The following is a 24,071-nucleotide window of genomic DNA, read 5'->3' on the forward strand; positions in this document are numbered from 1 at the left end:
TATAAAAACATTCGTATTTAGAGTAATGTAATCGGGAAACATACCTTACAAAAATATTCTAAAATATTTTAAAATAATATACACTAGAAAACAAATACAGTTGTTTCCAAATTTTACTTTCTAAAAATAAAATCCTACTACTAATTCTTAACAAGGGTATGGTATTTTCCTTTTTTAATGCTGTTTTACGTTATCACTCCCTAAAGTCAATAACTGTATCAGAATTCTGGGCTCATCTGATGAAAACATTCCATCCCTATTGGAAAACAATCTGAAATCACATAGCCTCAGTCTGCTTCCCTGTATAGTCCATACAAACCAAACCACAAAAGCTACTAAAATTAAACAGTGGAGAATTGATTCACTGATAGGCCAGCAAAAGGTTTTTAGGTTTTTTAATTCTTTGGGTATTGTTTTGTTATTGTTGTTATCTTTTTTCTTTAATCCAGGGAAAGTCCCTACTACAAAGGTCTCAAAACAGAATTGAAAAGAATGGATCTTGTCTGGGTGTTCAGCTATCCATATACACAGGTTCATTCTTCAGCAGAGTTTACTAAGCTGTTTAGTGTCTTTGAATCAGTTTTTCTCTTTGTTAATTAAAACAAGCTAAATTTGCCTTTTATGAATTCTTAGGAAGTTCTATTCTCAGATAACCTATATTAAACTTTTAAGAAAGATGGAGAATGGTTCAGAATAATTATTACAGTAGCCAAGAAGTCCAAAAACGCTAACGGCTAAGGAATAAGGAACCCTGAATATCTTAAAATCTAGCTTTACAAGCCAAAGACATCAAGACAAATATTGTAAGGCCTTGTGCATTTGTCTGACCTGTTGCGCCGACAAACTGACAGGGGAAGAGAATACCCAAATTCTGGTCATAGGCTCAGCTACTATTCAGCCGAGACAACCTTGGAATCTAACTTAAAAATAAGAGTTCTGGGCCAGGTATGGTGGCTCGCGCCTGTCATCCCAGCATTTTGGGAGGCTGAGGTGGGAAGATCATTTGAGCCAAGGAGCTTGAGGTTACAGTGAGCTATGATCAGGCCACTGCACTCTGGCCTGGGCAGCAGAATGAAACCCTGTCTCTGAAAACAAAATAAAACAAAAAACAAAAATCCTCATGTAAAGATAACCTGATCAAACAGGAGAATTTACTACTATATGCAAGAATATTGCAGTTACTGACAGGAATATTTATGCTAAAGCATTTTAATGATTATTCAATGCAAAAAAAGTATTAATTGATTAAGGGGGGAAAACAACATTATCACAAACAACGTCATCACAGGCATCTCCCTAGCTACATAATTTTCCACTTGTCACAAATGCAAATTTTAACATTACTATTTGAAATAGCCACAAGGTACCAAATATATTATTTATAGATTATAAACCTTCAGCTTTTTCAGGCCTGAAACTTAGCATTCATTTGAACGTTTATAACCACGTAACTGAAGTCTATACAACATTAATCTGAAGTAGTGAACTCTTGAGCAAGCTCCCACAGTACTTAACTAATTTCAGTGAAGAAAGTGCACCTCTTAAAACATGCCAGTGATAGAACTGGGGAAATGCAAAGAATAGGCCTGAAATTCTAGACCATGGGGAGATCTTAAAACATAGCAAGACTCTGTCTCAAAAAAAATAATAATAATGTAAGAAAAAAAATTCTATTAATAAACATCTAGCAATCACTATCTCAAAAACCAACAAAAGATGAGAATATAAACAAGTTTACAAAAGTATCTGATAAATGCATAGATAATAGAGCAGGAACCAGTTCTTAGAGTGTATTTATTCAGAGCATCTGACAGACAATGCTATAGATGGGGTGGCAGGGACTGTGAGTTGCCTCCCAATGTCTGTTTTCTTTTGACATGGTATCATAATTTCTAGTTGCCCATACAGTCACTTAACTCAAGACTCATTTCCCAGCCTTCCTTGCTGCTGTGTATGGTCACATGACTAAGATTTGGCCAATGGGATGTGAGTATACATATTACGCACAACTTCTCAGTCATGATCTTTGCCCTAGTTAGAATCTGATTGAAATGGTCAGAGCCATCTTAGGCCATGAAATAGTAGATACATGAGCATCAAGGTACAAGGAGCCTGGGTCCTTGGTAACTGTAGAACCACAGTCAGGCCTGGACCTTCATTCTAGCCATGTAGATAGTAGGGAAATAAATATCTATCTTGTTTGTACCATGATTACTTGAGTTTTCTCTATAAATAACAATTATTAGTCAAAATAATACAATAGCTAACATTTATTTGGCATTTACTACATACCAGACACTGTGCTAAGAGCTTTATATAAACTCTCTCATTTGCTCAAGACAGTAACAGTTTCAAGCAATTATTCCTATCCTCAGAAAGCCAGGCCTTATGGAGAAAAGATAACTTTCTCAGAGTCATTCAGCTACTAGGGCCTGAACATAGGCCTATCTGATGCTGATGCCATGGTCAGGCTGTGAGCCACAGCCACATACACAATAAATTCCATTTGCCTGGGATGGAGACCAGCCACGACCCCCTTCTACAAAGCATTCCAAGAACGTTGAGTTTTATGTCCCCCAGATTTAACTGGCATATCTTCAGGACTGTGAAGAAGAAAAAAAAAATTGCATCATAGCACAGAAATGAAGAAAGAGTTATACAGCCAAGATTCACAGGGGAAAAAGAAATCATTCCCACTGCCACTCCAATACAATGCAACTTAAAGTCATGCCATAAAGTTATACACCAAAAGGTTTATAGTTTTTTGGCTTTGGTTTTTTGTTTTTTGTTTTTTTTCAGCAGGAGGAGATTATAGAGGACCTTTATTTTCTACATTATATGTTTTTATAAGGTTTGAAATTTTTATAATCATCCAGTATTACTTTTATCATCTAAAGAGACAATAAAGATTTTTTAAAACATGTCATAATGGGTATCAGAAATTTTCCTGCTTGGAATTTTATTTTTTATGAGAATGCAATTGTAAGTTATGATTAAAAGTGTCAAAGTGCTAGAGAAATGTAATTATAGAGATAAAATAATAAAAGAAACATACCAATTTTTAAAAATCTATTTCCAACTATATTATTCCAATATGGATTTAAAGCAGCTTATAACAACAACTACAGTATAACACAGAAGGAGAGTTAAGTGAAAAAAATTGAAAGCAAAAAGGAAAGTAAAGGTGAAAGAAATAAGATGAAAATGATTCCAGATGTACAGTCAGTGTGCAAAACACATGGGCTCAGGTTCTGTAGCCTTGTTACAGATACCCTGAATTTTTTTTCTAAGCTTCCTAGCAGACAAGGCAAAAAGGAGCTCAGAGTGTCCATCAGATAATAATAAGTGAATGGTTCAGAAGGAAGCACAACTGATTTTGGCACCAGGACCTACTGAGATGCTTTCTCTAATGAGTCCACAGAATGAAGGTGCTTTTTCACAAAATGAATTGTGTGTCCAGACACAAACAGGATTTTTTTTAAATGTTGGGGCCCAGTTGCAAGTATAAAAGTTTAATAATTTGGGGGCCAAAATTTAACTGAAAGCTGAAAGGCATGCATATTATATAGAAATGCAAATAAAATGGTCTCAATATAGTTCCTGGACAAGTTTCCAACCACCTTCTCCTTTATACAAATGATATACTGTAATTTACTTTCCATAATTCACTTTCTTTGCAGATACTTATGTCTTAAATATTACTGACCATTTTTAAATATGCAACACTAAAATCATTATGGTCTGACATTTTTATATGCTTATAAAACACATTTTGTTCTAACTGTTTTTATTAGAAGAAATGTGGCCTGCTGCAAACCAAAACCTACATATTTTACTTTGGAAAAAAAAAAGCAGCTGGAAATATAAAACCCCACACATTTGCTTTTAACACTGCTTGGGAACTAAAACCTATCATGTGCACTTGACTGTGTTTTCACAGAAAAGCAGCATTCTCAGTGCAGGCACAGCCCACGGCATTCTCACTGCTCCCCAGGAAGGGGTGAGGGGGTGACTGTGCAAGCTGGGGCTCCCCGGATGAGGGCTCCCTTTCACAGGGATCTCTGGACCATTGTGTCTCTAGACTTAAGAATACAGAAAACAAAATTCCTTGGAATTTAGCCTCTGAGGAGGCAGGCAAATTATGTTAACCACAAGCAAACATCTACATTACTTTCTGGTTTGTTTCCACTACCTTCCAAAATAAATTGCAATTTAAAATCAGATCTTAGAAGACTACATATAACAAGACACCCGTATATTTTCTTTTCTTGCCTCATGAAATGACAAAAATTGCAAAAACTTTTAATAGCATTTAAATTTTAATACTCTAATCACATGTGTTTATATTTAAATAAATGTTGGTTTCTTAAAATACGATTATTCCCAAACTCTCTTGCTATAAATTAAAACACAAATGGAAGACGAAGATGCCCAGAGATGATTCCAGTTGATGGAAGTTCCTGGTCCAGTACAGAAAGGGAAAGAGAATAACAATAAATATAAGTCAAAAGAAGGGTGGAAACAAAATACACTGGCAGTAAAGGCATGTTGGTACCAGGTGGGTTCTTGGAAAACAGGTCAGCAGAAGTTAACAGGGTGGTCACTAGCCCAGTGAGCCAACTGTTTCCAAAACACTGGTCCAAACACAAGCCTACTTGTTCTCTGCTGGCTGGTCCCTTATTAGAGATTTCCAGCTGGAACTTCAAAACTTGATACAAACCATGACCAAGTGGGCTTTGTCATGGGAATGCAAGACTGGATGAGTACTCAAAAAACAACCGATGTAATCCACCAGATTATCAGATTAAAAGGAAAAACAGTCATCATCAATCAATGCAGAAAAGCATTTGACAAAATTCAACATACATTCATGATTTAAAAAAAAAAACTCTCAGCAAATTAGGAATAGAAGGGACCTTCTTCATTCTGATAACACCTACGTCTAACATAATACTTAATGGTGAAAGATTGAATGCTTTCCCCCTAAGACCAGAAACAAGGCAAAAATGTCCACTCCCACCACACCTACTTGACATTGTACTAGAAGTTCTAGCCAATGCAAGAAAAAAACTCAAGGAAAAGAAATAAAAGGCATGCAGATTTGAAATAAATTAAGTTGTTCCTATTCACAGACAACATGACTGGCTATGGAGAAAATCCCAAGGAATCAAGGGGAAAATAATTTCTAGAACTAATAAGTCATTTTAGCAAGTTCACAGGATAAAGTTCAACACAAAAATTAACCATTTTTCTATATATACACTTCTTGTATACATAGAAACCAAAAGAAAAAACACACATATTAGAAACCAAGAAAAAATACCACTTACAGTGTTACAATTTATACTTAAGTACAGGTCTCAAAAAGCACATACAGGATCTACATGCTGAAGATGACAAAATGCTGCTGAAAGAAATGAAAGAAGACTAAATAAATACAGAGGCATACCATGTTGATGAATTGGACAATTCGGCATAATAAAGCCATCTGTTCTCACCAAACTTATCTATAAATTTATGCAATCCCAATAAAAATCCCAGCATGATTTTCTGTAGGTACAGACAAGCTGATTCTAAAATTTATATGAAAAGACAGAAGAACTGGAATAACCAAAACAATTTTGATAAAGGAAAAATAAGATTGGAAAAATCATATAAGCTGATTTTAAAATTTAATATAAAGCAACAGCAATAAAGACAGTGTGGTATTGGCAAAGGAACAGACACATGTGTGTCTGAAATTTTTCATCATAAACAATTTTTAAAAATAAAATTTAAAATAAACCAAATATAAGGAATCTGGAAAGGTCACTGAGGCACATGCGGAACATTATTAAAAGGCTGGAGAACAGACACTACAGCTGTGATTCCTGCCTGTCTCATTCGCTCACTCAAACTCAATGCTTGGCATAGAGCACATAGTCCATAAATAGCTGCTCAATGAATAAAAAGTGAATGACGCACCAAGGGAAATCTTACTCTTTTTCCTTAACCCTATAGAAGGAAATAGCACCAAGAATCCTAATGAATTGATCTCCTTAATTGAAAACCAAATAGAGAAAGCTGCTTTAAAAATAAATTTTATTTTAGAATGTCAAATCCTAAAATAGAATGTCTTTTCCTAAATACCCCAGCCTACACTGCTTTCTCTTTTATGAACTCCTCTAGTAAGTGGCCTTAACATTTCTTAATCAAATACAGTGTTAAACTGTCCTCCTGTGTGTGGTGCCTGGGCTTTACCATGTGGTGAGGATGGAAATAGCTGACTTGTATTGATGGAGTTCCTGCCATATATCCTGACACTGTTCTAAGTGCTTTCCACTCAACCCTGCAAAGCAAGTTATTAGTATCCCCTCTCCCAGATGAAGAAACTGGGGCATAGAGGGTCAAGTAACTTCTCCAAGGTCACACAGCTAGTCCAGGGCAGAGCAGGGACTCAAACACAGGCAATCTGGCTCCGTACTTGCCTCAGTACTGCCTCTTCTGAGGACCTTGAGAACCCAGACTCCTACAAATCACACTATTTTTGTGTATTTTTCTCAGCAATGTCCACCTAGGACAAGGTTGGGTATGCAGCACATACTTTAAAATCTAAATGACTGGTGTGCTATCTGGGCTGCATTTGCAAATTCCAAGAGCATCTTTAGGGAAAGTTTTTAGTTAAAGTTTGTGTTGTTCTGAAGAGCCCTCCTGAACTTTCTATAATGTTTTAGTTAATTCCACCATGAGGATTTCCATGACAAAAAAAAATTGTTCATGTGTGATAAAGATAAAATGTTAGTACTTACCAGATGTTAAGTTTTTAATGTAAATATTGCCCAAAATAGATACCAAAACAAGACTAGCAAAGTAAAAATCCTCCTGGGGAAAATTATTTTATATCTCAGTGAAAGTCCTTTCCTATAAATCCCCCCGCCATCCCCAACAAACACACATAGAAAGCCTTTGATGGCAAAGGAAACCTCAAAGATGTCTTGCACTGAGAAAACAAAACATACAACACCCTCCAGGAATTCTGGTCCTTCTTAAGATCTCTATCACTAATTGTTTTGGAAAACCTCAATACAAGTATATGTTTCAATTCTGGGTTACATGTAGTTTAAGGGTAAAGAAAAGAAATGACTGTAGTCAGCCATCCATTGCCATCTCTCTAATGAGGTATGTGCTTACTGAACACATCTCATCTGAAAAAAAAATTTTTATACAAAAGATGAGTTTTTCTATTGATCTTTTTTCTTCTACAGCATTCTACTAAAGAGAGATTAATCCCAAAACAACAAGAAAGGCCTTTAATGAAACCTCACAGCAGCTGGCCATCACCCAGGCTTTAGCTGTGTCCCACGATACACTCCAGACATTCTGCATGCTCTCTGTACATTACATGTCAGACCATTCCAATGGAATGGGAAACTATGATTACACTATAATTTTAACATTTAACCCAAGTTTTTGCTGACATAATTAGCTAAAAATATTAGCAAAAAGGGTAACAAGAGCTGTCCAGTTAACAAAACTAATTTCAAATAACAAATTTGGAGGATGATAATTTCAGTGACCACAAAGTAAAAGTAAAAACTTTATCCTATCAAGGACAGCAATAGGCTAACCGAATTCACCACCTATAAGGGGATTCTCTAGGAAACCCACCACGGGTACCCAATTTCCACTGGCAAGAAAGAGAACACAGACGTGATTATGTGACCACTAGGTGGCACCTTCACACTGCTTCATCTCAAAACCATATTTCCACCTCCACTATGGCCTTCCCAAAGTATTAGCAGTATAAAATTCAAACCCAGGTGCCTCACTTTAACAAAAAATAAATTTAAAAAATGAGAAAATACATTTTCAATTAAAAACTTTTCCCATTAATTTCTACATCTAAGGCTTTGGTGTATAATCACAGAAGAATATCTCACCAAACTGTCAATATAAATTGGTATTCTGACTTTATCGCCCCTTGGCAATGCATTGTTCCAGTATTACAATGTAGAACTGAGATAAATTTGTAGCTTCAACTATATGTGTAACTGAATTAAAATAATTTCAAAAGCCCTGTGAGCAAAGGCTGTGACTAACTGAAAAAACAAATGGTGGCCTCTAATACTTCTTGAGTCCCAGCCTATGACGGCAAGTGTCAAGTAATCCTGCAGACTGGGTAGAATGTATATCATTTCTTCATCCCTTTCAAATAAATATATTGAAGTTTTAAAAGATTTTTTAAAACAGGTCTAGATTATGACCTTGTAGGATCTACAAACAATTAGCAAATTCCTCAAGACTTGGGTGACATTATTAGATTCAAAGGGAAAGTCTGAGTAATGGGCATTTCCCTTATTTGGAATTATGTTTTATGTTTTGTTTGTTGTTGGCAGGAGAATGGGGCAGACAGTTCTGCCTACTTGTCTGTATCTATTTGCAAAATATCATCCCAGTTTCAGGTAGCTACAAATGGCTGGGTCCCAAGTAAACCTTTTAAATGTGAGGTTTCTCCTTGGCAATCTCAATCTCTCCTTTTCTCTCCAATCTGTGTCCTTCCCTGCTTTGCAGCCTCTTACTCAATAACACTCCTGCTTTTGACACCCAATGCCCTTTCACCTTTCTTTCTTTCTTTTCTTTTCCTTTTTTTTTTTTTTTTTTTTTTTTTTTTGAGACAGAGTTTTGCTCTTGTTGCCCAGGCTGGAGTGGGAGTGCAATAGCGTGATCTTGGCTCAGTGCAACCTCTGCCTCCTGGGTTCAAGCAATTCTCCTGCTTCAGCCTCCCAAGTAGCTAAGATTACAGGCATGTGCCACCACACCCAGCTAATTTTGTATTTTTAGTAGAAATGGGGTTTCACCATGTTGGCCAGGCTGGTCTCAAACTCCTGCCCTCAGGTGATCCACCCGCCTTGGCCTCCCAAAGTCTTGGGATTACAGGCGTGAGCCACCGCACCCAGCTTTCACCTTTCTAAACTGACTGAGGCAAGCGTCTAGAATCAGCCATTTCTATTCTAAGGTAAACATGAGCCAGTCACTTGCAGAGTTGGTCCCTACCTCCCATCTGGTTCCCTGGCACTTTGTATCCACCTCTTTTTCAGGCCTGAATACCTCACATTGTAACTCTCTGTCTACATGAGGGCCTCCTCTACCAAGCTAAAAGTTTGTCAAGAAAGAAGACCAGGTCTTAATCTGTATGCCCAAAACCTACCCATGGTGTTTGTAAACATTAAGCCCTTAATCAATGCTTGTTTAATGAATGTATCCTCTTGCCTTGCCTGATTTACATTTTAAGCCTCTTCTCTAACTGTGGAAAGACTTTACCTCTACCTAACACAGGAGTTCTTAATTTTAGAGTTCAAGAACACATTTTTATGTACATCTATATGAGCATTTTTCCAGGAAAGAGGTTCACAGCCTTAATGAGATTCTTAAAGGAATCTCTAACTCCCAAAATTTGGAACCAAACCAAGCCAAAGAACTTCAAGCACTAGGAATCAGAAGAGAGGCATATTATTAGGCTAAGGGGCCTGCCAAGCATCCATGGAACTATATTGGTAGGAAGCTACCAACTCTGCTTATAGGTAATCTCTCTGAATACAAAGTAGAAGTAGACAGACTAGTCACTGCTGACAAAATCAGACCAGTCGATGCAATCGTATGCATTCACAAAATACACACCTAAAAGAAACCACAACTTCAGGGAGATGACAATGATCAGAATACAGATGCTCCTCAACTTACAATGGGCTTACATCCTGATAAACCCATTGTAAGTTGAAAATACAGTAAGCCAAAAATCCATTTACTTAATACACCTAACCTACTGAACATCATAGTTTAGTCCAGCCTACCTTAAACATGCTCAGAACACTTATATTAGCCTACAGTTGGGAAAAGTCATCTAACACAAAGCCTATTTTATAATCAAGTGTTGAATATCTCATGTAATTTCTTGAAAGCTGTACCTAAAGTGAAAAGAAGAATGTTGGTATAGGTATTCGAGTTAAGGTTTCTGCTGAATGCATATGGCTTTTGCACCATCATAAAGTTGAAAAATCATTAAATTGACCATAATAAATCAGGGACCATCTGTACTATGATTTCTAGAAAGCCACAAACTTTTAAAACTGGGTAGCAAAGGTATAGGACTGCAGAGAAAAATATCTATTTTTATTCCAGATTCTAAGTCCTATGCAGAAGCACAGCCCTGTTCCACATTGAGTGTCCAAATACATACAGGCCTATGCCCTCTAAAACCCTGCTTCATGTGGCTCTGACCCAGCACCCAATCTCTTTGCCTAACACCTGTGGGTGAGGTGGTGTCCTTCTCCAGTTTTGTGCCTGCTAAGTAGAGCCCACCACTGGAAAAATTTTCATAGGCTAAATTTTAGTGAATTACTAAGAACAATTTAAAATTGGGGAAGTGTATTTTCTAGAGGTCTGTTTCACCAAGAATTTTCAGTGGCATTAACTAGTTTGGATGAGTTATTTGACATATGAAGATGTCAGGTAGATACATCCCAGGCCTCTCTGACCTGGACTCTCTGACTGACTAATTATAAATCAGAGGTTCCCATGATCCACTCTTCAGGTTCAACAACTAGAATGACTCCCAGAACTCAGGAAAATAGTTAACTTACTATTACTGCTTTACTATAAAGGATACTACTGAGGAACAGCCAAACGGAACAGATGCATAGGGAGATGTACGTGGAAGGAGCACAGAATGTCATTGTCCTCTCTGTGCACCCCACCCTCCCAGCACCTCTACATGTATACCAACCCAAAAGCTCTCCAAAACCCATGATTTAGGGGTGTTTATGAAAGCTTCATTATATAGGCATGATTGATTAATTCTTTGGTCATTGGTGATGAGCTTAATCTCCAGACCCTCTCCCCTCCCTGGACATCTAGGGTGGACTGAAAGTTCCAACCTTCTAATCATGCTCTGGTCTTTCCAGTGACCAGCCTTCATCCTGAAATTATCTAGGAGCCTCCAGTCACCAGTCATCTCATTAGCAAACAAGACACTCTTTTCACTCCAGAGAGTCCAAGGGTCTTAGAAAGTCTTGTGTCAGGAACCGAAGACCAAGACCAACTATTATAACAAAAGTTGCTCCTATCACCCCTCTCACTCAGGATATTACAAAGGTTTTAGGAATTCTGTGCCAGGAACTGGGGACAAAGACTAAATATGTATTTCTTATTATATCACAATATCACACATACTTAATCAAATTACTGTATTTATAATAATAGTAAGATTAGTTATCTAAATGTCCACACAAATGGCATAAATCACTGAAGTCCTCAAAAAGAAAATGTTAGAAGCAAATGGAGAATCATTTGAGTCCATTATCATTTTCTACCTTTCTTCTTCTGATACGGCTTTTCTTGAGTCATTCATTTCTCATACTGAAAATCACTCATTCAAAACCAGCCTTTTAGGTAGAAGGTCAGTACCCATGTATTAGGCTTTAATGTTGGGATTCAGATGATATGGAGTGGAGTTTTTCTACCATAAAGGGGAAGATATTTGAATAAGCCTTTAAGAATGAGAAAGTGAAAAACAGGGAAGAATAACATGTGCAAAGATTCAGTGGCATAAAGAAGGTTTGTATGTTAGGGAACAGCAAGTAGTTCACAGTGGTGGGCACGCTGGGTGGACTGGGAGCTATGGCGAGAGATGAGACTGAAAAGCGTACAGCCAGCCAGGGAATCTGGATTCATCTTAAATGGTTACAGGGCCATTATAGGATGTTAATCAGGGGAGTGACATATCATATTTGCATTCTGGAAAGATCATTCTTGCAGCAGTGTGGAAATGGACTGAGGAGACTAGTTGCAGAAGGAGCAGTTAATGTGGTAAGACAGAGATAAAGGATTTGAAAGACATTAAGGAGGAAGAATACACTTATATGACTCCCTTCATAACTGTGGGGTAAAAATATAGTCCAATCTCTTCTTTTCCCAGTTCATTGGTTTTGAGACCCCATTAGTCTATGTTATTAGCAACAATTCCAGTATCTCCCTCCTGAAGCTGCTCCACAGCCCTACCCCAAATTGTTGAAAAATGCTGAGGTCTGTCCTGGTTCCAAATACCAGGTCGAAACAGAATAGAAAGCCTGATGAGTCCAAGATGAGTCCACATTTCTAGCTGCTGCAGCTCCTGGTAAAACCATAGAGTTGTTACTTTTGTCCATTGCTGCCACAAACCCTGGTGTTCCAGATCCCTGCAAAGACAACTGTGATGCCTCACACTTGGGATCCCAGGGGACTGCTGCTTTACCTTAACTCATATACACTGTCAAAGGATCGATACTGTGCCAGAAACCCAGGCTCAGCCACAAGCCCTCCTTCATGAGCCTAGAAAGGCCCTAATGCTAGCCAGTTCAACATTCTCCTTTCTCCATAGTGAGTTTCCCTTTGGGCCCCTTGGAGTCCTTTCTTTCCAAGGGACCTCTGCTGGGACAACATCAATCCATCAGAGAGGTTCGAGTAAAACTGAGCCAAAAAAGAGAAAGGAGCTAGAGTTGGACTGCCTTTCCTCCAGGAAGTTCCTTGGCCCCTATACAGGCAATCAGCACTGTGAGACTTTGTCTCGCCACCAATTTCCTGTCACTCTTCTCCCAGAATCATGGTTACTCATTTGCACTATATTTGCATAATTAATAGGGTTAAGTCCAGTCTTTGGGGAAGGGTGACTTTCCATGTCCACCTAAAGAGCAAGTGCCTGGACATTCCTCACAATTTAGAAAAGAAAAGAAAAAAAGAAGTGAAATGTCTGTCTTTAGTGACTAAGTAGATGGGGATGCAACTGCTCCTGTTCTGAGTGCCAGCAACAGGGCAGTGGCCCCAGATGAAAGTCGCCCCACTGCAAGGCTTGGCCAGTGACTGGAGCCTCCTGTGTAAGAAGAAGCAGTGTGCCAGCAAGCACCATTCATCAAATGGAACACAGCAGATTTCAGCCACTTCTTTCCCTCAGCCAGTCACCTCTGGACAGTGTACAGTGACGCAGTCGTCCTGCCTGAAACTAAGGCAGAATGTTCTTCTTCAAGAAGTTAGGTTCCGGGATGAGTCTGTGGCATCAGCCAATTAAAGTCCTTTCCAAAGAGTCTCATCTATTAAAGAAGAGAGATCCTGATAAGATAAAGATGGCAGAAGGGGACTGTTTGATGGGTACACTTTTTTTCATGGGGCTGGGGAAGTACTGGACTGAAAGTGATAAAGTCTCTCAACTAATGTGACTCCTTCCTAGCTCAGAAAAGAGAATTATCTGTGAATTCTCTCACCCTCTCTGAAGTGCCAGTTACCAGGGGGACAGTCATCAGTCTATCTTCTTTATACTTCTTTCAAGAGGCTTAAAGCCCTGTGAGGGGGTAGATAGATAGATAGATAGAGAGCGAGTGATAGATAGAGAATTTTAAAAGCTAGACTAGCAATTACTCACCAAAAAGAAAAAACAATTTCCTGTTTTGTGCTGTCAGTAAAATGTAAAATTTTACAGAATGCCCGCAAGTGATTCTCTTTAAGTGCTGCAAAAGGATTATTTTCTACAAAGTCGAAAAAAAAAATTTTTAATGCTGATAGGAAAAGATCATCTTATTAGGTGCTTTGTAATGTAGGGGGAACTCCAGTCAATAAGCAGTGTGAGGTGGAAGGAAAGAACCCCCAGAGGGAGATGAGACTTGTACGCCACACCAGCTGCACTACCAACTATGTGGCCTTCAGTGACCACCTCACAGGAATCCTTCAGTTACCCACCTGGAGGGCTACTTAAATACCAAACAGAATAGCTTATGTGTGAAATGCTTTGCAACTATAAACGATTATTCACCTGCATTATAATTATGTTTCTACAAATTGTGCTTGTCAGTTCACATCCCAAAAGGACCTAAACATTAGACACCATTTTACAAATTATAAAAGGTCATTATGAAGTTCTGAAATACACTCTGGCTGAAGAAAATACAGAGCACTTTAGGAAAAAAAATAACACATCATCCACGTCTTCAATTCTACATCCTAAATAAACAGTTTAATCCCATCACATAACACAGCAAAGCCTGTTATCCGATAAAAGGAGAGTACTAAACCCTCAATTTAAGGACCAGTTACAACTGATTAAAGTAAGGATACTTATAATTTAGTGTGTAAGAATGTATGCTGAAATATAATTAGTGCCTATGAATTAAAGCAGGATGGATTAGGCTAATTCCTGGAATGCTATTAGAGAGAAGACCCTAGGTTTAAAAAAAAAAGAAAGAAAGAAAGAAAGAAAAGAAGAAGAAAAAAGAATGATCTTTGTGTTTGCACAGCAGCTAAGCCGCTTAATGTCCCTCTAATGGATCTGAATGGGAAGAAAGGGGAGAAGGGGAGTGGAGCCCTCTCCATGGCGTCAGCCCACGCTACGCCTGCCTGGCACTGCAGCCCTGGAAACCTGGGTACAAGGCAGAAGGGGCTGAGTTGCATGCCCTCCGCTCACTTCCCAGCTTAATTTATATGGTAATTAGAGCTCTGCTGCCAGAAGGGAGAGCATCTGCCAAAAGTAAAGTCCTCACAATAACAAAACTGACATTAGCTGTGATGCCGCCAAAGTGCTGACTAAGAAATTTCTTTTATCTCCTTTTGAAGCCATAAAGTGCATTCATGTTATTACTAGTCGGGAATTTTTAACAGTCTTGCACTGACAGCAATTATTTAACACATGCACAAAACAATAGAGTTTCACACCACGTAATCAACCTTTGAGCTCCGTGACTTCCAATGCTCTCACTGGCTGGATTTTATGGTCTGGTAGCTCCTGAACAGCCAAGTATATAAGCCACAAAAACAGTATAAAAATGATTTGAAGCAACCACTTCTTGTGCCCTTGCAGATTTATTTAATGACTGAGGCACACTCCATGATCATGGGCCAATTAAAAGATTTGTCTGCCCACCTTATTCGCTGTGTTTGACTGCTACAATAAGTCTCTGCGAAGGAATCAAGCTGAACGCATGGTTGTTGACCTGTCCCTATATCCAATTTTTCCAAAACATCAGCCAGAATAAGATTTAAGTATTTTAGCAATCTATTTAAGGTGGACTATATTACTACCTTTCTCAGTAAAAGAATTCATTCAAATATTGTATTTGAATATCAACTCTGCTAAGGCCCAAAATAGAATACTATATACAAAGGAGAAGAAAATCAAGAAAACTGCTTTCAGGTATCATCTAACTGAGGAGTTGTAATCAAATAATAGTGATAGAGGCTGTGTGTGTTTAAAGAACTCTCCTGGAAGTCAGATGTGGGTTATGGACAAGTCACCAAAGCCCTATGTCTGGTGTCCTTATCTGTAACAATAGAGGTAGTGATAGCTATGCCACCTGCCTCTAAGGTTTTCATGAAGATGAAACAAAAACTGAAGGAACATAGAAGAATAGATTTTAAATATTCTCATCACAAAAAAAAATGATAAGAAGGTGAAGTGATGGATATATATTTATCAGCTTGATTTAATCTTTCTACAATATATATACATATCAAAAGACCACACTGTACCCTATAAATATATTCAACTATTATTTGTCAAATAAATTTAAAAACTGCAGTAACAAGCACTTTGCAAACTATGATGCACTATATAAATAAAGGAATAATTATTCTCTGCAAATGATACCAAGAGATTTATTTTTTTTTTTTGGCCACTCTAATTCAAGGATTTTAGTATGTAACCATCATAGCCATGGAGACCTTGAAATCTAATTGCATTTACTAATTTACTATGAGTTATCACTAGGAATTCCCTAACTCAGTATCAAGAATATAGAAATCAGAATATCAAAGTTTTAAGAATTATGAAATTTGTCTAAAGGGAACATATGGTTTAAAATAGATGGCTAAAACCAGCAAGCATTATAAAACAAAGTCAACTTTTAAAAGACTCAAATTATATACACAAAATCCTCAGTCACTATGTAAGTTCATGACTTTATACATATTTACGTGCAAAGTTTGAATTATATTATGACTCATTTTTGGCCGGTCATGGTGGCTCACACCTGTAATCCCAGCACTTTGGGAGGCGAAGGCAGGTGGATCACTTGAGGTAAGGAGTTTGAGACCAGCCTGGCCAACATGGGGAACGCCGTCTCTACTAAAAATACAAAAATCAGCTGGGTATGGTGGTGGGTGCCTCTAATCCCAGCTACTCAGGAGGCCGAGGCAGGAAAATCGCTTAAACCTGGGAGGTGGAGGTTGCAGTGAGCCGAGATCACGCCACTACACTCCAGCCAGTGAGACTCCGTCTCAAAAAAAATAAACAAACAAATAAAATAAAAAATAAAAAAAAGATATATATATATAAAGACTCATTTTTAAAGGCATTTTTAGTCAACTAGTTTTGAGTATTAAAAACATACTTAATGTAAGTCAGGTACAATATAGAAAGGTCATAATCAATCACATAATCTCTTTCTTAGCCCATTTATCTGCCCATACATCTGTAACAGAGATGTGCTGTCAGTAGGGTTTACATTTTCCCAGCAAACGGAATCATAGAACAATAGGGTTTTAGAGCTCTGTCTTGCTTTTATGTAGGTTGTACTTCCCTAACATTTGCATATGCCAGCATTTCACCTATTTTCTTAAACTGCATGCAATAGGCATGCCATGCCCACCATTTTGAAAAGGTACTAGCTGCCTACCTGGGATTAGTCCTTGACCTCTACATCAAAATACACTTCTGGTCATTGCCTTTGGTGTTTAATTGCCTTTGGTGTTCTCTGTCAGCCTCCCCTCCATGGCTGCCAATCCCCATCTGTACCCCGTGGCACCCAGTACCCAACTGTTCCTCTTCTGCTTGCCTCACTCTGCTCCTTCTCTCTAAATGATAACTCACACTCTGCCTATAAAGTTTTCTTGCCAAAGTATCACATTCTACTTTACACACTTTACCCTTCAAAGCCTTTAAATTATTGTTTATATACTCCCATGAGTTATATTTATTTGTGTCCCCTATATAATTTTAAATTCTTATGGACACAAATTTAATGTTACTATTTTTCACAGTCAAATTCAATATTACCATATTACTTTCATATGCAGAAGTATGACAATGGGTAGACTTCCCACACTATGCAAATTCCTGCTTTTTGACAGATAGTTAAATCTTAATACACTGTTAGGAGCCCACTGACTACGGGACATTGTTTGAGTTGCTAAGAAAATTTTCTGAAGGATAATCTTAGGCCATTGATGTTGATCATGTGTGTTTGCACACAACGTAGAGATAGAATAAATAAAAATTAAACCAGTGAGCTTACTACTTCTTGCTAACATTCAATTCAAATATTAAAAGTAGACTCACTCAAGAAAAAAATTACATTCCTCTATGTTTTTAATTGTCACTGCTTATCTAAACCTTAGATACTAAGAAATGAAGGTAAGAAGAGATTAGCAGCAAACTTCAAAGGTAGTAGCAGGCGCTTTCGCAAGAACATAATTAGATGGTGATTTCATTGACATTACTTACTCAAAACACACTCTAGAGATGATGCAGGGCTTATACATGAAAGTATATAAATGCTTTTGATGGATCACTTCAAGAAACAAAAAGCAGGCTGCAATACCCAGCATATATTTCTCACAAATGACTCCATATGAAAATAAGAGAGAAAAATAGCACCTTGCAAAACTTTTCAATATTGTAGAACAGTAAATAAAATTAACACTTTAGAGGTAGTAAAATCTGTAACATATGTGACAAAGAGTATATGTTTTAAATATATAAAGACAGCTTTCCAATACAAAACGAAAAGAATACCTTAATAAAATAAATAAATGAAAAAAGATACAAATGGGCAATGCACTGAAGAAGAAACACAAACTGCCAATAAACAACTGAAAACATGTCCAAATTTACTAGGAACCAAAAAAATATAAATTAAAGCAACTATATCATTTTTAAACTCTGAGATTGGCAGAAAAAGAATACTAACACTATAGGTATAGCACTCTAGAATATTCTTAGTGCAAGAATAAATTACACAACCTCTCTGGAGGACAATTTGGCAACACACAGCCAAACTCTACACATACACTCTCAGCAATTCCACTTAAGAATATATCCTAAGACAATAATTAAACAAATGCTCACTCTGTCATGGTTTATAATAACAATATTGGACATTACTAGAAATGAACAGAGAAAGGCCTCATTCAATAGACACACTCATATAGTACCATAATGTATTGTTAAGTGAAAAAGCAGGCTATAAAATGTATGTAGAATATGATCCTGGTTTGTAAAAAGACAAAAAAAGGAGGAAGGAAGGAGAGGAGAGGGAAGGAGATTGAAGAAGAGAGGAAAGGAGGAGGGGGAAGGGGTGTCTGTGTGTGTGTGTGTGTGTGTGTGTGTGTGTGTGTGTGTGTGTGTGTGTGTGTGTGTTGGGATGGGGGAAGGTAAGCATTTGGGGTATGTGTGAATAGGGAAAACCTCAGACAGGATCATGACCAAGTGTTAACTATGCTTGTATGCATAATTTTTCTTTTCTTCTTTATATTTTTCTAGAATGCCTGAATGCCCCCAAAAGCTATTTTCACTACGAAAATAAATTTAAACTGTAATCACATTTGCATAGCCACTTTATAATTAAAGAGAAATCTTTTAACAAATTCTCCATCATTATCTTCAGAGGCAGTCAGTGATTATTTCTAGTTGGGTACAAGAGAACCTTTCACATTCACAAAGTGTGTTTCTAGATATACCAAACAAAAACAAAAACAAAAAAACCTAAAACTTGCTGTGTGTCCACAGAGACTCTTTAAAAATATTCTCTAGTACTTCCCAGTGGGAAGCGCCTCAGTGGAGGCAGGGCCTGAAACCTCATTCCATGTATTAGATACTGGTTGGCCAATAAGAATGTGAAGAGTTAAATACCCTTCCAGAATACTTAATGTATGGAATGAACTGGGATAAATAATAATTACATTAGCAAATACTGCCCAAAGAAAGATTTCTGAGATATTCTAACTTCAGGAATCAAATACAAACTGAGTCGACATCAAGCTCAGCAGCATATAAGAATGAAGTAAGACACTCTGCCCTGTGCTTCCCAAATTCGTCTTCGCTCGTCACTCCCAAGTTAAGAAAAGCCTATAACAGAAAAATAATAAAACAAGAAAGTTTCCATCATTTTAGATAGACATTGTGAATAATTCTACAAAGACACACTTCTCCTACTTCTCAATATGTCCAAGATGTGAAATTGAGCGTATTCTTTCTTTTCCAAGATTACACATATGGTTTCAATAAATCTTTTATTTCAATTTTCATTTCTTGGCCATCATTTTTTAGATCAAATCTAACAACCCATGTCAGACTCACTTTAAAAACACACAGCTAGACACTTCTATGGGACCTCTCTCTTCACTATTTTTAGACTCTCCTAGAATCTTACTAATGCCTGTTTCTTCTATACCCCTAGAAAATTAGAATGTTGGGGAAATGTTTACTTTAAAAAAAAAAATAAACCAATGTATCTGAGTGCTACATAAATCACCTTTTTCTACTCTGAAACTGCCCTGTCAATAGTCACTAGCCACATGGGGCAATGGAGACCTTGAAAGGTGGCTGAGTCCAAATCAAGATGTGTTGAAAGTGTACAAAACACACTGGATTTCAAATATATATATATATAAAATATTAATTGTATATATATATAATATACAATTAATAATGTTTATATTAATTACATGTCACAATGATGTTTGACTATAGTGAGTTAAATATAATTTCATCTGCTTCTTTTTGCCTTTTTGATGTGACTAGCAGAAGATTTAAAATTACTTATGTGGCTGCATTGTGTTTCTGTTGGATGGTGCTGGTCTGGAATGCTAGTTCATCATGTCGAGATTCTTACTGCCATTTCTGTAACTCTGCAAATACTCAGTATTCTCTTTAAATAATAGGTCTTCATCAGTGGCATTACTCAAGAGATTTGCTCCCTCTACCACACTCGGTAAAACACCTGCCACTAGTTACTCCTTTTCCCCAAAATTAACGTCTGTGCTTACTAGAAGCTTTAGCTCTACTTTAATCTGAGCACTCTGCACTCCTCGTGATCAGTGTTTTCCCCAGCGGTGTTCTGCCCCTTTGTGCCACATACACTTGAGCAGTGGAGTGGCGTTATAGTTTGCCAATGCTGGTGGATGGCGTAACTTTCAGTTTGGGGTTCAAACTCGCTTCCCACAGGGCAAACACACTAAAGTGCCACCACAATTCCCTTGCAAAACTCATTCATTCCCTGAATTCTCCCAGTGCACCAGGAGGAATGTTAACCATTTTATACCTGCCCAAAAGTGGCCTACTGTATCAGTTAGGATTGCTTTCATAAAAGAAACCCAATGACCTGCCTGGCATAACCAAGGTTGGTTTATTTTCCAACTTAAGAAATTGGTCAGAGGTAAACAGATAAGAGGTGATGCAATAGCTTTATGATGGGACAACTGCCCTAGCCTCCTCTGTCTTTCCGACCTGCCCTTGTGGTCTCAAGATGCCTCCTGAATGTTCAGGCAGTGTATCTATGCTCCAACTAAGAAGGGAAAAGATGAAGGGCAAAAGGCACATGTCAGCGGTTTTTCTTTTTATCAGGAGACTTCTGCTTTTATCTGACTGGCCAGAACTAACTTATGTGGTCACCCTAGTTACAAGGGAGTCTGAGACAGCATTTTTAACTAGAATTTTATCAGTAAGGAAGAACGGTAAATGGATTTGCAGTTGTTAATGTGTACCATAGCTATATTTTCACAAATATTATTGCAATTTTGTTAGAGATACGAATAAATGCCTAGGGATAAGGGGATTAAAGAAAAATCCAACAAAATTCACAATCTTAATGTTGGATACAAAGTTGGGAGAATGGAAACTTTGAGAATATAATGTCTATTATGTGGATCATTTCATTTTATTGAACGTCCACTTTTTTGAATAGTTCTTACAACAACTTTCAGCATGTATCTTTGTTGATAGTAAAAGTATAATCAACCTGCCAGTAATATCTTTTCTAAAAGTTTAGTTCATATTAAATCAAATAGCTGCTTAGAAAACTTTATCCACCAGTCACAGCCTGCTATTCAACATGGCCTCACTCTACTTTTATAATTTTACTTCCTTCTATTTCCTGTCATCCAGAGTGGATGAAAGCAGACCTCCAATGTGAAAACGAGTTTCTTCCTGAGTCATCTGCAAAATTCCACACTCCTGTCACCCATCTGATCCAATACCAAATTCAGCATTCCACTCAAATTTCTGAAGCACTGTTGTTGCTAATAAGAACCACTGTCTGTTTTTCAATCACTGCCACTAGAAGATATTTTTTTAAAAGACATAGAAACATAGCTTCAGTAGTTCACAAGTATTAAGGCCTACACCATGCCAAGCTGAGAATGGGAGAGCTGCACTGCCTGAGGATGCCAGGCCCTCAGCTGGGAGCACTCACTCACTCACTACGTGATTCACTCCCAAACAAGAGCCCTGCAGAAAGCCTGATTCAAGTTCTTGGTTCAGCAAAATTCAAGTTTCTAAAATGTCATATATCTTTATGGCATTGGCAAAAAGTCAGAACTTTCTATGATTAATTCATAAATGTTACTGATCAATTCTGTTCCCTGTAATGGCCCAAGCTTTCCAAAAGCTGGCCCTTTTCCACAAAGTGTCTTCTTTCTGTAACACCCACCCCCATCTATACCAAATGAAACCCTACTCATTCCTCAAGGTTCAATTCTGATTTCACATTTTCCACAAAGCCTTTCCAAATCGCTCTGCTATAACTGTTCTCTATTTTGATCAAATATAGCACTTTATTTCTATTTCTCTCATGTCATTTATTTCTGCCTTATATTTTCGATCAGTCTCAGCCTCTCCCACTAGATCAAAAGCTTGACTCTATACTCTTAGCAGAGCATTTTATTTATTTGTTTGCATTGAATTAAATCTGGATTTGTTTTGTCTATGTGACAGACAAAAAGTAATTGTGCAACATCATTGACCACAATGTTTTTTTAAAGTCTGGTCACAAATTATGACTGTCAAAATAATAATCAGCCCATTGCTTTCCATTTTGAGCTCCAGAGAAAATTACTACAAACATATGAAGGGATGTCCTATGGCCTTGAGCACAGAGGAAAGATTGCCCACCCCAGTGTCTATACAAGGCTTTCACTACTCCACTATGCAGCCCATAGGTCCCCATATAAATTCAGCAGAAGAATCCAGTTACACAACGATTCTTGAGCATCTGCAAAGGATGAATAGATTTCCTGAACCCAAAAATTGGGACACAGAATCTTTGTGCCATTCCAGGTGAGTTCCCATTTAAAATACAGCTTTGATTGGATGCAGTGGCTCACTCATGTAATCCCAGCACTTGGGGAGGCCGAGACAGGCAGACTGCTTGAGCCCACGAGTTCAAGACCAACCTGGGCAACATAGTGAGACCTCACCTCTACAAAAAATACAAAAATTAGCTGGGCATGGTGGTGCGTGCCTGTAGTCCCAGCTATTTGGGGGGCTGAGGTGGAAGGATCACTTGAGCCCAAGGGGCAGGGGTTGCGGTGAGTCAAGATTGCACCACTGCACTCCAGCCTGGGTGACAAAGTGAGACCCTGTCTTAAAAAAAATTTTTTAATGGATCAGGGAGCACACTTATTTAGTAAACATAGCATGTATTCCAATTAATAAACTGTTCAATGTAAAAAGTTGGGGTGATAAGAATTAACATTCTAAGGAACAAAGAGCAGAAGCTAAGAAGGGCAATAAGAAGGGCAAAAAAAAAGTTGGAAAAAAATCCACCTTATTGGCAAAAAAATAATATTCTTGCACATGTAGGTTGTGTGTGATTATAATGTATCTCTTTTTCTTCCTTCTGCCCCAGGTCTCAGAGGCTAACGTGCTATTCTAGAGAAACATATAACAACTTTTCTCTGACTGGTTTGAAAAACTGATGTTGTTCTCACTAGAGGGATGGTGCAAAGCTTTAAAAAAGCTATAGAGTGATGAAGGGAAAATAGATGTAAGTGCCAGGATCCTGTTTAAAGGATCAAGGAAGGTCTAACTCCAAGAATGTCCACTTAACGTTATATTTTCATTTCTACAAATTCTATCTGGTTTCATTTCAAATCTTTGTCATATTCTCAAAGCTCATTTTATTTCTTTAAATATATTAAACAGACATATTTTACATTCTGAAATAGACCACTCCAAACTCTGCAGTCTACGTGGAACTGACTCTATAGTGTGTTTTTTCAATTAATGATTGCTCATGATAGTTTATTTCTTTATGTGTTGGGGATGGGAGGAGTCCTCTACCGTGGATTCAAGGCCCTTCAGTTTTATTTGTGGGAATTTATTAAGGTCTACGTTTAAATTATTGTGTTCTTCCAGAGAGATTTCCCTTTCCTTCTACCAGGAGCTGGGATTACTGCCAATCCAAGACCATTTTCAACTGAACATTCAACTTGGCCCTACAGGTGGTATGAACTCAAACCCAGAGCCTACCTTCATGCAGGCTTATCGTTGGTAACTCTCATGGGGGACTTCTCTTTTCCATTCCTCCCACAACCAAAGCAGAGACAGTTATATATGTCCCCACCATGCCCTCTCCAGAGCAGATTCTTCCTAGTGTTTCCACTCGGGGTTAACCATTTGGTGTGCTGACTCTATGTGGGAGCTCTGACTTGACCTTTACCCTGTCTTGGGCTCTGTTTCCTGTGCTCCCTACACATGCCTGGTTAAAACCCACACTTTAGGCCTTTAGAGGTTAACAGATACCACGGGGACCAATGCTTGTTCCAATGGTCACTTACCCCTCCTGACACATAGTGTCTTGTCATTCCTACCCTCCAAGGAATTCCCTTACATTTCTGCCAGCTCAGCCATGCTTTTAAAACTACTTTTTAAAAAATATTTTATCTAGCATGTTCAGGCTTGCTTTCCCAAGCACGGTCTCCCTTAACATCTAGTCTGCCATATAGCTAGAACTAGAACTCTCCCGTCCAGAGATTTGCACAGGGGCTGTAAACAGTCCCATGTGGCATGTTACTACCCT

The 24,071-nt window shown here is 37.9% G+C and overlaps 1 protein-coding gene across 8 annotated transcripts in view; it reads right to left on the reverse strand.

Annotated features, from left to right (window-relative positions):
* FSIP1 (fibrous sheath interacting protein 1) overlaps positions 1–24,071 on the reverse strand; it is a 185,402-nt gene that overhangs the window by 81,076 nt on the left and 80,255 nt on the right. The window contains exon 11 of one of the 8 annotated variants that reach the window (XM_047432212.1): positions 15,605–19,120. The exons of the other annotated variants lie outside the window; for them this stretch is intronic. Within the exon in view, the coding sequence (XP_047288168.1) occupies positions 19,007–19,120 (114 nt within the window). The 3' untranslated portion in view covers positions 15,605–19,006. Of the gene's footprint in view, positions 1–15,604; positions 19,121–24,071 lie in introns of those variants that run through there. 8 annotated transcript variants of the gene reach the window in all.

Source organism: Homo sapiens, chromosome 15, assembly GCF_000001405.40.
Source record: "Homo sapiens chromosome 15, GRCh38.p14 Primary Assembly".
NCBI classification, from domain to species: Eukaryota; Metazoa; Chordata; class Mammalia; order Primates; family Hominidae; genus Homo; species Homo sapiens.